Source organism: Homo sapiens, chromosome 8, assembly GCF_000001405.40.
Source record: "Homo sapiens chromosome 8, GRCh38.p14 Primary Assembly".
NCBI lineage: Eukaryota > Metazoa > Chordata > Mammalia > Primates > Hominidae > Homo > Homo sapiens.
Window position 1 is genome coordinate 39,314,277 of NC_000008.11, and position 14,003 is coordinate 39,328,279.

Genomic DNA, 14,003 nt, shown 5'->3' on the forward strand with positions numbered 1-14,003 from the left:
TGCTGTCAGTAACCAGAATATGTTTATATTTGTTTCTTTTCTCACTGTAACTGGAAGTTAATTAAAAAAGCGATGGTCTAAGTAAAAGATATAAGCAAAAGCGTCACCAGGCACCACCCTAACCTGAGAATTGACAATTAGGAATCCTTTCTTTTTTAACAATAAACTGACTGGCGTATCAATGCTGAGACGCTTCTCTTGAGTGCTCAGCTGCCTGCCAGCAGCGCGTTACCTACTTCCAATCACCTCCCGCTTCGTCTGTGCGCTTTTCCTCTCCGCAGCCTTCCTGGGCCGCCTCACGCGCGCTCAGCCCTGCGCGAGCTGCGCCTCTCCAGCTCTCAACGTCTCAACTGCTGTTCATCGCCAGGGCTCTAAGACAGCGAGCCATGTTCCTTCTTCTGGTGCTTCTCACTGGACTTGGTGGGATGCATGCAGACCTCAGTAAGTCCAGGAATCCAGGCTTCCGAGGGAGACCTTGTTCACTCTTTCCACGGCCCAGGTCCAGCCCAGACTTTACCCTGGCTCCACGCTCTCCCGCTTTCTCCTGGCCCCTTGCTTCAAGGTCTGTGGCCAAAAAGGCAGAGAGGCAGCCTCCGACAGAAAATCGTTTAACTTCTCTGGGATGGCTTCCTGATGCGGAAAATGAACAAAAATGAAATATGTGGTTTTTTCCACATACAAAATTCTGCTACTCTACGAATAATTGCATCACTGTAAAAAAAGCTATCTATCAAGGATTTACTGATTTGGCAACTGTTATCCTCCACCTGCCCCATTGAAAAGTGCAGATCATCCTTGTATTCAATATTCTATATTTGTCCCTGCAAAACCTTTCTTGATGCATCTGTGTTTTCTCATTTCCACATCTGTTTATAACACTGAATCTGGTACTTAGTGTTAACTTAGCTGTGCCAGTGCCAACTGTGCGTGTGTGTGTGTGTCTGTGTGTGTGTTGAGAGAGGGATTTGCAGGGGAGAATGGGAATAAAAATTTGAGATCTTGACCAGGGGTCAGAAATTTGTAGGTAAGAATGACTAGAAAGACAGTGGAAAGGGCGAGATGTGTAGATTATTTTAAAAATAGCTGCTAATGTAGAGAAACAAATGCAGAATCAGAGTTAGAAATGAATAACATAAGACCACAGGTATCAAAATAACATAGTTTATATTTATTTTTAGATCCTCATAAAATCTTCCTGCAGACCACAATTCCAGAGAAGATTTCATCATCGGATGCAAAAACAGATCCAGAACATAATGTAATTTTAATAATATTTTTACTATGAAATGTTGTTCAAGTTGCGTTTAATGTCAAGACCAAAGGTGCTGAATGTGGGCAGGATTGCACTTCTTGGAGGCAGAGCTGACAGCTGAGAACAGGTTCACAAGAGGGAGCATTTTGATGTTTACGAATGTGTGAGACTGTGTGTGTGTGTTTCTGTTGATGATGAAGGATTTTAGGGATAAGATCCCTTGGGGCCAAAATGCTAGGTATAGGATCCCCCAAGTTTGAAATTTAAGGAGGTAGCAGAAAACTTGGATCCCCCCAGGACCAGGATTAGGGTGAGGCAAGTGAAATGAATCATGTAACTACAGGATCAGATCCTGTCTGTCTTGAAAATTTTGGTATTTTTTTCATCATGGTGTTTTTTTGCATTGATTTTTAAAAAGGTTGCATTAAGATATGATTTATCTTGATAACTGAGTTTTCTGGTATCCTAGTTCTAGCCCTAGTGATCCCCTAGTGATTTGTCTTAGCTTTTACTAAGTCAGTGAGGATCTGAATAGTGATGACCTCTGGGCAGGCTTATCTGTTAATGATCACATCAATTTCACAGTCCGAGATTGGATGGTAGTGAATGGTCCTTCTCTAATAATTCAGCAGGAGAATACTTCTCACATGGCTTCTTCCAGTATAAGATAATCTATTGTTATTTAGTAATTATAGGCCTCCAAATTTTTTTTTCCGTTTAGTGGTTTCAGAAATCTTTCCTCTCTGTTTCACATAAGGATATACTATTTATATCTTTTCCCCTTCCCCATATACCCTTTCTTTACCTTTTCTTCCTCTAGTAGCTGAGTTTTATTTACCAACATGCTTATCATGCAGCTTTGAACACCCCTCCACGCTGCCTCCCAAGTGAATTACTAGCTATGCTGTGGTGTATGAGCCCTATGACAGCTTCCCTTTCTGATTGGAAAGAAGAGGTGACATTACATCTTTGTTTAATTTCCTTTTTCCTGAGATCAGTAATGCCAACTCTCCCTTTCCATTGTTTATCACTGATAATCTTTGAATTCCTCACTTGTCTAATTTCCAGAATTTTTATAAAGGCATTTGTAATATGGAAATTCAGTGTGTTTCTTTTAACTATAATGATTTAAAAATTTACATTGTAATATATTTTAGCAACAGAAAATTATAATTATTGTGGGATGTGATTTTATTTGAATATGTTTGGTATCATATGGGGTAGGACCTGCGAAAGTAAAAGTGCCTAAGGATGTACAGTTATAAGATTTTGTAAATAAAAATACAGAATACCCAGTTAAATGCATGTGTACATAAAGATAAAAGAGAAATACTACATGAGGCTTACTTATACTAAATTATTTGTTGTTCACCTGAAATAAATTATAAGCATCTAAATTACATACTTCCTTCTAAAATTACAGCTTCCTGATGATTTGACTTCCCCTAACAGTTCTCTGTTTTGTAGAATTTGCTTGCAGTTATAGTCTGTTTCATTTAGATCGCAACATAATTTCTACAGTGGTCACACCCAATGTATTTTATTCTTTTTTTCTAGTGAACATTTCCAGTAGTTTTACAGTTTTTGCATTTTACATTTAGGCGTGTGGTCCATTTTGAGTTAATTTTTGTGAGGGATTTAAAGTCTGTGTCTAGATTCTTTTTTATTTTTATTTTTTGCATGTGGCAATACTGTTGTTCTAGTACAATTTTTTTGAAAAGACTGTCTTTTAAAAATATTGTTTTGCCTCTGCTTCTTTGTCAAAGATCCATTGACCATATTTATGTAGATCTATTTCTGGGATCTCTATTTCTTTGAACTGTTTGTCTATGATTTTGCAAACACCACCGTGTTTTGAGGACTGTAAATTTATACTAAATCTTTTATTTTTTTTGAGACAGGGTCTCACTCTGTTGCCCAGGCTGGAGTGCAGTGGCATGATCTTGGCTCACTGCAACCTCTGCCTCCCAGGTTCAAGTGATTCTCCTGGCTCAGCCTCCTGAGTAGCTGAGATTACAGGTGCCCGCCATCGTGCACAGATAATTTTTGTGTTTTTAGTAGAGACAGGGTTTTGTCATGTTGGCCTGGCTAGTCTTGAACTCCTGACCTCAGGTGGTCCACCTGCCTTGGCCTCCCAAAGTTCTGGAATTACAGGTGTGAGCCACTGCGCCTGGCCTTATACTAAGTCTTGAAGTTGGGTGGTGTCAATTCTCCAACTTTGTTCTTCACCTTCAATATTATATTGGCTATTTTGGGTCTTCTGGCTCTACATATGAAGTTGAGAATCAGTTTGTTGGTATCTATAAAATAGCTTGCTGATATTTTCATTGGGATTACATTGATCTATAGATGACATTGGAAAGAACTGACATCTTGACAATATTGAGTCTTTATATCTATAAACATGGAATATCCCTCCATTTATTTAGTTCTTTTGGAGTTTTTGCATTAGTTTTGTAGTTTTTCTCATAAATATATATTTTGCTATATTTATACCTAAGCATTTCATTTTTCAGGGTGAAATGTAAATGACATTGTGTGTTTCACTTAACTTATTACCTGTTCATTGTTGGTACAAAGGAAAGATAATGAGTTTTTAATATTAACTTCGTATCCTGCAACCTTGCCACAATTGTTTATTTGTTCCAGGGTTTTTTTTTTTTGGTGATTCTTTCAGATTTTCTACATAGACAATCATGTAATCTGTGAATAAGGACACACATTTATTTCTAGCAAATCTGTATCCATTTTATTTCCTTTTTTTGCTTTATTGCATTAGCTAGGACTTTCAGTGTGATATTAAAAAGTACCGGAGAGAAGGGAAGTCCTTTGCCTTGTTCCTGATTTAATAGGAAAACTTTCATGGTTCTCACAGTTAAGAATGACATCAGCCATTAAGACCCTATCTCCAAAGATGGTCACATTTTGAGGTGCTGGGGATTAGTATTTCATCTAATGAATTTTTAGGGGGGTTACAATTCAGCTTATATCAGTTGGATATTGTATATGAAAAGATGTGGAGGCTCTGGATAATGTGTCTTTCGAGAGTTTTTTCCTTCTATTGGTTGGTTTTGTACATTTTTGGTTTATTTTAGTTTTTTTTGTTTTAGCTTTGTAAGATATGTGGATTTTAAATTTTATTGTTGCTTTCATATTATCCTTTAATTTTAATCTTATTTGTTTAATATCAAAGGATTTTAGAGGGCACAATTTTAAAGGTCCCTTCCAAATTCCACTTATACTTCTTTTCACAATGCCATTCAACCGATTCCTCACAGAACATTTACCTGAATCAAAGTAGCTTGTTATGCTCCAGTATAAAGTTGAGGAATTGAAAACTGTTAAATGCTATTTCTTAAATTAACCAAATACATAATTTAATGACCATTGCATTTTCTGTTATCTTCTATGGTGTTCTCTAGACATGTCTTTAGTCTCCCTGTATTCTCTCCTACATTCTATTCCAGAGGAGTTTGATTGCTCACACAGATAAGTAAAATGCAATGGCTTTTGATGTTATATTGCTAGAAGTATATTACATTTCTTGTACTTATATCTTTTGGGAGGGTCTCTTTCAATGAGTAGGACAATTTACCTTCCAGGAGAGCTCTAGGTAAGCAACCAATGGGTCCTCACAATTAGTTGTGAGTTGATGATGGGGTCTGTCTGAACTGAAAGACAATAATCATCAGATAAGCTTCTCCCTCAGAGGTGTGAGTAATAGTGAATAGCAGGCAAGTGAGTGCTTTATCACTTAGTTCTCAATGCAGAATTCTGAAGCTCCAAGTATCTGTGTGGGAAGGAAAGCCAATATAATGGTTACAGGTTGTTATTAATTTTGTCAATATTTTAAACTCTAATTTGGAGAAGATACACTATTTGGCATGTGTTATTATTGAATTTTTCTAATAATTTTGTTATAGGTTATTTACATGATTACCATAGGGAAAGCCATATTTTGTCCATCTCAAAAAGCAGTAAGTAATTAGTTTGTCCTTTCAAATTTTAATACTTTGGCTTCTTAATTTCTAAAAGTATGTATAAGTAGAATGAATCATTTTGATTCAAATATATTGATGCCTACTCTATACTGGGTACTGAGTAAAGTCCTAGGCATGCAAAAGAGAATAAAACATATTGCACTGTTAAAGAATTTATAATAAAGAAAGATACATTCAGATACCTTAATAGAAAAACAAATAATTTTATTATAATATGGTAATATGATAAATGTGTAAATAGTATTACTTGGAAGTCAGGAAAGGCTTTTATGGAAGAGGTAAGAGATTACTTGTATCTTAAGGGAGGAGACAGAGCTATATAAAGTAGAGGGGCAGGACAGGGGGACATTTTTTTTTCTGAGAGAGTCTTGCTCTGTTGCCCGGGCTAGAGTGCAGTGGAGTGATCTCGGTTCACTGCAACCTCTACCTCCTGGGTTCCAGCAATTCTCATGCCTCAGCCTCCCAAATAGCTGGGACTACAGGTGTGCACCACCATGCCTGGCTAATTTTGTGTACTTTTAGTAGAGATGGGGTTTCATCATGTTGCCCAGGCTGGCCTTGAACTCCTGCCCTGAAGCATTTCTCCCTCCTTGGCCTCTCAAAGTGCTGGGATTACAGGCGTGAACCACTGCACCCAGCCAACATTCTGTTTCGAGAAGAAATCATGGTAGAGCACAGAGGTGTGAGACAGAGTGGCTTTTCTGATGTGCATAGTCAATGTGAATTACTGAAGCACAAATTTTCTGAAAAATAGAGGTAAAAGATTCGGGAAAGGTAGGTAGGAGCCAGGCTGTAGAAGATTCAGAATGCCATGGTCAGATATTGGGAGCCAAAAATGGTTTTAAGTATGTACTTATGTAGCCACATTGAGTCTTTTAGGCTGTTTTTGAGGGGACAAATTAGAGTTAAGGTGATCAATTATATCACGATACAGTTTAGGTGAGTAACAGTGGTGGTTTGAATGATGGCACCAGTGATAGCACTTGAAAGAAAAATCGGTGGACCTCAATATAGATTTGGTAGAATGATTAGTAAACAGTGAGGAATTTCAGATAATTTAGTTGTCGCTCAAGAAAATGAATAGGCTATAGCATAATTAACTGAGGAATATGAACAGGGGATATATTTGTGTGAGGAAGGGGTGATTTCGGTTTTTTAGCACATATGAGATATCCAAGTGTGTTTTTTCCTCTAGATCAGGGGTGTCCAATCTTTTGGTTCCCCTGAGCCACACTGGAAGAATTGTTTTGGGCCACATATAAAATACACTTATGGTAGCTGATGAGCTAAAAAAAAATTTAAAAATCTCATAATGTTTTAAGAAAGTTTACAAATTTGCATTGGGCCGCATTCAAAGCCATCCTGGGCCATATGTGGCTAGGAAATTTGAATCTCTGAAAATATTCAATAGGAATATTGGAAAATAGTTTTAGCTATAGGTATATAGATTGAGCAGAAAGCAGTAGCTTGGCTGTGTTTTTTTTTTAATGAGTGCTCTTACGTAGGGTGCTTATAAATAGATCGTGGCTAAAGACTGGACCCTGGGAAACGGCAATGTTTCCTGGGATAGGTTGAACAAAAACAGCAGCCAACATGGAAGATAAAGCTGGAGGGACCAAGGAGGTAGGAAGAATAGCAGAAGAATGAAGTGTTATGTAAATTAAGTGAGGGGACTGAGTGGCCACAGTTTTCAAAAAGAAGCTAGAGGTCCAATGTAACAATGATTTTTTAAAATGCCTTTTGGATTTGGCGTTCTAATATTTGTGGATCTTTTCCAGGGAAGTTTTAGGGATAATAAGAATTGAGAAAGTGAAGGAATTGTGTGTAGACAATTCTTTTGATGAAATCTGTTAAGAATTGAAAAACATGTACATAAGGAATAGCTACAGTAGAACATGGGGTCAAGAAAGAGTTCTTTAGGATAATAATGACTTATTAGTATCATTTTAAATAGCATTATGATAAAAATCCAGTAGAGCATAAGAGTTCAAAATTATAGGATAGAAAAAGTAGTGTCCTCCGTATATGGCACAGGATGGTATCTGTAGCACCAGTGTAAGGGTTTGTTCTGAATGAAAGCAGTAATCTTCTGGCAATAAAGATAAGGAGTGCAGATGGGAACAGGTGATCTGACAGTGAGGGAACATGGGGGTTTTGTGGGATGAGTGACAGGAGTAGTCTCAAGTTTTTGAATAGTTACTGAGGGAAATAAAATTCTGACCGGAGTTATTGAGAAGAAATTGGCCCTTAGCATAGCTTAGCAAATATGAATTTGTAGTGAGAACAAGTAACTCTTTCTACATTTTCTGTTTGTATTAGTCTGTTTTCACACTGCTGATAAAGACATACCCAAGACTGGGCAATTTACAAAAGAAAGAGGTTTATTGGACTTACAGTTCCACATGGCTGGGGAGGCCTCACAATCATGGTGGAAGACGAGGAGCAAGTCACCTCTTACGTGGATGGCAGCAGGCAAAGAGAGAGCTTGTGCAGAGAAACTCCCGTTTTTAAAACCATCAGATCTCATGAGACCCATTGATTATCACAAGAACAGCATGGGAAAGACTCGCCCCCATGATTCAGTCATCTCCCACTGGGTCCCTCCCACAACATGTAGGAATTATGGGAGCCGCAAGATGAGATTTGGGTGGGGACACAGAGCCAAACCGTATCACTGTCCTAACCTTACACTTTAATTTTGAAACTTTGGTATAAAATCTAAAATCAATGAGTGAAATAGACAAAGACTAGAAAGTTCTATGCTGGAAATTGGGACCTATGCTATTTCCTCTTCATGTCTCTAGCAATCTGAGTTGCTCACTTATCTGCATTTTTGTATTGTATGTTATTCTAGTTAAAATGTCTCACTAAGCACCTAATTCAGTTTAAGTGCTAGAAATGCATGGACAATAATAAAACAAGTCGATTAGCACTACTTTAAATTTTTCAGTAAAAAGAAAATTTGTATAAGAATATTTTTTCTACCTTTTTGGTTTCACAACTTGAGCATGTTTTTATTATTTTTGCCTAGATCAATTTTATCTTCAGCTTCTGTTATTAATTCTTATGACGAAAATGACATCCGTCATTCCAAACCTCTGCTAGTTCAGGTAAGAATTAGGTTATTTTTTTCTTATGTATTTGTAATTCTAGATTTCTTTAAAAAGACAAATATTCTATAATAACTAGAATGTTATTTTACATATTCGCTGAAATTGAATAACTTGGGCTGGTGCTTATTTCTACATGGCACAAATTTATTAGGTAATTGCCAATCATATTAAAGTAGAAATGTAGCTAAAGTAATAAATAGTAAATGTAGCTAAAGTAAAAAATAAATAAAAAATATAAAGTAATACATATAAATAAATATAAATAAAATATATGGGGTGTTTATTTTAAAAATAAGTTATCCATTAATTTTTCTTTTTTTTTCCTAGATGGATTGCAATTATAATGGATATGTTGCGGGTATTCCAAATTCTCTTGTGACTCTCAGCGTATGTTCAGGACTCAGGTTGTAGACTACTTAAAGATACTCAATTTGCCAGTATTATATCCTGCTAGCCTATGAATTAATTCTCCATGTATCTGTTCTAATTCTATAATCACCTTTGTTATATTTCAGTTCCTTAAGGACTGAACCAAAATTACTAATAAAATAGTATTGATATTCTAGCAGTATCTGTTCCTGATGAGAGGCTACCTGTTGATACTGACAGGATCTGCTGCTTTAGGCTTTAAGAAAGGTTGAGTGTAGGGAGATTGATTGGTCTCCTCATACTTTTTTAGTTTTCTCAAATTCTGTTATTGTCCAATTTCCTAATGTCCTAGAAAAATTGACAATTGTGGAATGCATGGGACTAATGGACGCTGGCTCTGCAGTCAGTCATTATTAGGCATATGGTACCTTCAATCCAGCCCACACAAACAAATGATTTAGGGTATCAAGTGTCAGAGGAGAGTTAAGTGTATCAAAGAGAAGGAATCAAAGACTAAAGAAGAGACTGCCTAGAGATTCTACAGGCTGGTTAGAAAATATACATAATAGAAAGGGGTTTCAACCTGTTTAAGTGCACAGATCCATGCCACCACCATGCTTTCTTGAAGATAATCACAGATTTGTAATGTAAGGTAATATGTATCCTGTGATATAGTCGTCTAGTTCTGGTGTAAGAAAGACCCCAAAAGATAAAGAGATAAAAGTAAAAAAAAAAAAAAGCTAAGGTCACTTTAGATCTTAAAAACTGTGGCCCAAATTTCTCGTTATAATATTATGGTTTTAGACCGGGCGCGGTGGCTCACGCCTGTAATCCCAGCACTTCAGGAGGCCGAGGCGGGCGGATCACGAGGTCAGGAGGTCGAGACCATCCTGGCTAACATGGTGAAACCCCGTCTCTACTAAAAATACAAAAAATTAGCTGGGCGTAATGGCGGGCGCCTGTATTCCCAGCTACTCGGGAGGCTGAGGCAGGAGAATGGCGTGAACCCGGGAGGCGGAGCTTGCAGTGAGCCGAGATCGCGCCACTGCACTCCAGCCTGGGCGACAGAGCAAGACTCCGTCTCAAAGAAAAAAAGAAAAAAATTATGGTTTTAGTAGAATCATTTCAGACTTGTTTCGATTGTCTTAACACTCAGGGGAACAATGCAGCTGAAAAACATCTCATATGGAATTGAACCGATGGAGGCTGTATCAGGATTTATACACAAGATTTATGAAGAAAAATATGCTGACACTAATATTCTCTTAGAAGAAAATGACACTTATACTTGGTTTAATTCAGAGTATCAAGTCAGAAAAAGTTCAGAAGTAAGTATTGACTCTTTTATTTTAATTTAGTATAATTTTGTGTAATAAAAAATACTTTCAGAGCCAAGATTTGGTGACTTACAAATCTTAAAACTATTTTACTTCTTCATGAGGGCCCTACATGACTTTTAAAATGGCAAGAGAATAAACTTATGTTTGTCATTATGCTTGCCGTTAGATGAAAGCTTAGCAAAAACTTAATCTTAGAAATATAAAGATATGAATATAGTATAAAAGAAACTGAAACATTAATTTTCATATGTGAACATTTAGATAATTAATGTAAAATATTTTTTCTTCAATTACTCAGAAAATTTAGGGGAGAATATTATACAACCTGGATTTCTCAGTTGAGAGTTCAAAAATGGATGAGCAACTTACATAAAGTACATGTAAAGCAAAGTGATGATTTTTTTTCTCTACCAAGACCTATAGACTGCTCTAAATAACATGTCTGGCTCTAGCAAATTGCCATTGGTTGTAAATTTTAATATTTTTCTAGACTACATTGTTTGCCAGAAGTAACTTCCTAGTAATTGGTAGCAGAAAATCTGCTTGCGTGAAAGATTAGTATGAAAATTATCAAAAGGCTAAGAAAAACCAAAGCTGTATGTTATAAACTGAAAATTTCAGTTTCAATTATTATAAAAGTAAAAGATTCCTGAGTTTTTACGTATCTTGAGAAGTCTAATAGAAAAGTCTTACTACCCAGGGCACTTTGAACTGGAATCTTCTGAATAGCACCTAATTTTGTACTTGAAAACAGCCTCGTTATGTAATCAGGAGCAATGTATCTTTCAGTGTATCTCTCAATATAATTTCAGTAGAAGGTAAATTTTTGTAAGCTCCTCATGACTCATGTGTGTTTTTCAGAAAACTGACTTTATTAAGTTATTCCCTCGATATATTGAAATGCATATTGTTGTGGACAAAAATTTGGTAAGTCTTACTTTATGCATTGTTATTTTAAAATTAATATATCTCTTTAACTTGATTTCAGTGAGGCAATGGAAATTACCAACCATTCTATTTTACGTTTGCGATGAACACATTCATACAAATTAATCAAGTTTTTGTTATTTTGTATACAGCATCTACTCACTTTTGCAAAGTGAAGCATCTTAATTTCTAAAGCTTGTTGACATTTTTGATTTTTCAAAAAACCTACATCCTCAGTGAAAGGATAGGTTACAACTCCCTTAAGCCCTCAACCCTCATATACAATAATAATATTTAACTGTCTCAGTCTAATTGGAAGGATGGTCTACAAAACAAATATGCCACTTCTTTAAAGCAAAAGGAGAAAACATATTATCACCTGTTTTCTTCTCAGTTCTAGGTGAATGAAACAAAAAGAAAAACCAATGAATAAAATACTCATATTGAGAATTCATGACTATACTTTGGATCTCTTATGAATTTAGGCTCCGAATATTTGTTACCTATGTGGTTAGGATTCTAATCCATGAGGCTACATTTGTCCCAGATTGGTAAAAGCTGAGGGTGCATGATGGAAGCAAATAGTATTTATATCTGGAGGAATGTCACTTCAAGCAGAATACCTCAGGATTCCTACAGATTAATATCAGCCATACATAAATGGGCTTACAATCCGTAAGGAAATAAAACACCATGAACAATGGTTAGCAAAATAAAAAATATATGTATGGCTAATATTCATTTTTTAAAAATATAGTTATGATTGGCAGAACAATAATTTATTTACTTGCCAAGATTTAACATTTCCCTTTGGGGACTTACAAAGTTATAAAGGCAATCCCATGTATAATTAAATCTCCCTGCAAATATGCATTTAAAAGAAGTTTTAATATTCGGTGGTGAACTTTGAGAGGAAAGGTTAGAAACAGTAAAAAGTATCTGGTGAGGTAGGAGTGGGGCTAAGTAAGATGAGTAGTCCTCACTTAGTTACTTATTTTTTATGATTTTTAGCTTAAGATCTTCTATTTCTTCACTTTGATATTTTGGACATTTTTCTGGGCTGTCAGGGGTTGCTCCCTCAGTTTTTCAGGCTTTGACTTGAGTGTGATGTATTCAGGAGTTGATTTTTGTAACTTTTACTGCTGAGGGGTTTGAAAGAAGAACAGTGTAGGGCTCTTCCCAGCTTGGCTTATTAAGGAGAGAGAGATAAGAGTTTTTACTAATACTAAGTTTCCTGGGTTAAATAAAGATGGTTCCTGTTGGAAGTGAGCTAGAGAGGTTATATGTTTAACCAGTTTAGAGGTTTTCTGCCTGAAAACAATTTTTGAGCACATTGATAAGTTTTATCCTTTTCCAAGTGAAAAGCTTGGTGAAGGATTTTTTTTTTTTTTTTTTTGAGACAGAGTCTCACTCTGTCACCCAGACTGGTGTTCAGTGGCACTGTATTGGCTCACTGGGTTGGCTCACTGGCTCACTGGGTCAACCTCTGTCTCCTGGGTTCAAGCAATTCTCCTGCCTCAGCCTCTTGAGCAGTTGGGATTACAGGTGCCCACCACCACGCTCAGCTATTTTAAAAAAATTTTTAGTAGAGATGGGGTTTCACCATGTCTTGAACTCCTGACCTCAGGTGATCTGCCTGCCTCAGCCTCCCAAAGCGCTGGGATTACAGGCGTGAGCCACCATGCCTGGCCCCTGGTAAAGGATTTTAAGGACTTTCTATTGGCCGGAAGCTGGAAAATGGAGTTTGCCATTCTCTGACCATAGCCATTTTGAAGGCTGAAAAGTATGCCCTTGAGAAGTGGCCTATTTTATTTTTGCAGGGGAATACTGAGGTTAATTTTTCTTATGGAGCGTTCCTAGATTAGAAGGGCTTGAAGCGTGTTAATGCCTTGAAGTTTCCTTGTCGCTGACTTAGCTGTCTGATCAGCTAACCTATATTTTTTGGCTACCTTATCTGTTTCCTTTTGATGTTACTCAGAGTGCATTTTTGCTATTTTTTTGTGATAGAAAAACTGAGGATAATAGCCTGCTAATTTTTTGGTGACATTTTATAGGAGATTTATTGGTGGTAAGAAAATGTGTTTCCTTTTAAATGGCAGCATGAGCATGGAGAGCTATGAAAGCATACTTAGTGTTAGTATAAATGTTAGCTATTTTTCCCTTGCTTAATTCAAGTGCTCTTGTCAGAGCTATTAGTTTAGCTATTTGAGTGCCTGTGCCTGGGGAGAGTGACTACTGTTTATTCAGCCTTACGCACTTCTTTCTTTAACCACTGTTTGTTAGCTAAGAAGAGCTCCCCCTAGAGGACAGTAATCCTGCCACTTTATGTGGCGTGCACATAGTTAAATTATTTCCTAGGGTTAACTTGGAGGCTTTTTTGAATAGTAGAACTATCATGACAATGGCTTGGAAGCATGTGTTAATAGGTCCTCTTAACTGCAAATAAAGTTGAGAAAAATATTGGATTAGAGTTTTCCTTGAGATGCCCCTTACAGTCATGCTATGGGAAGAGGGGAGGCCTGGATTAGAGACGAGAAAAGAGAGAGACTGGCTCTAGTGTTTAGAAGGAGGTCTACTTTCCTTTCTTTAATTTCCAGAATTAGCTGGGGCTCCTGTGCTATAATGGCAGTTTGAGCTGCTGGAGCTGGGGCTTGAGCCCCGGGACCCATTAGTCCTGCTGGACCATCTGTGAGACTGTTTCTGAACCCAGTAACCTCCACCTCTGGGGGCAGTTTCATCTCCAGTGGTTTGTGCCACAAACTAGACAGGTTTGAGGTGGCTTCATCTTGCTGCCTGGGCATTCCTTCTTAAAATGCCCTGGCCTGCCACACTAATAGCAATTAGCCGATGCACCTGGGGGATCCTGGACTTTGCAAGCCTGTTAAGCTGCTGCTAGAGACTTTGTCCTTTTTCTGAGCTTTCTTTCTTTTGGGCCTCCTTCTGGTCCCTATTATAAAAGACTGAAGTGGCCACCTTCAGGAAGTTCTCTAAGGTGCTATTT

General features: G+C 37.1%; 1 pseudogene across 1 annotated transcript in view; it reads left to right on the forward strand.

Moving 5' to 3' along the window:
• Positions 1–355: 355 nt before the first annotated feature.
• The window catches only part of ADAM5 (ADAM metallopeptidase domain 5 (pseudogene)), a 102,747-nt pseudogene continuing 89,099 nt past the window's right edge, over positions 356–14,003 (forward strand). The window contains exons 1-7 of the transcript NR_001448.2: positions 356–441; positions 1,179–1,258; positions 5,176–5,229; positions 8,285–8,363; positions 8,694–8,770; positions 9,892–10,063; positions 10,937–11,002. The product of NR_001448.2 is annotated as an ADAM metallopeptidase domain 5 (pseudogene) (transcript). The remainder of the gene's footprint in view (positions 442–1,178; positions 1,259–5,175; positions 5,230–8,284; positions 8,364–8,693; positions 8,771–9,891; positions 10,064–10,936; positions 11,003–14,003) is intronic.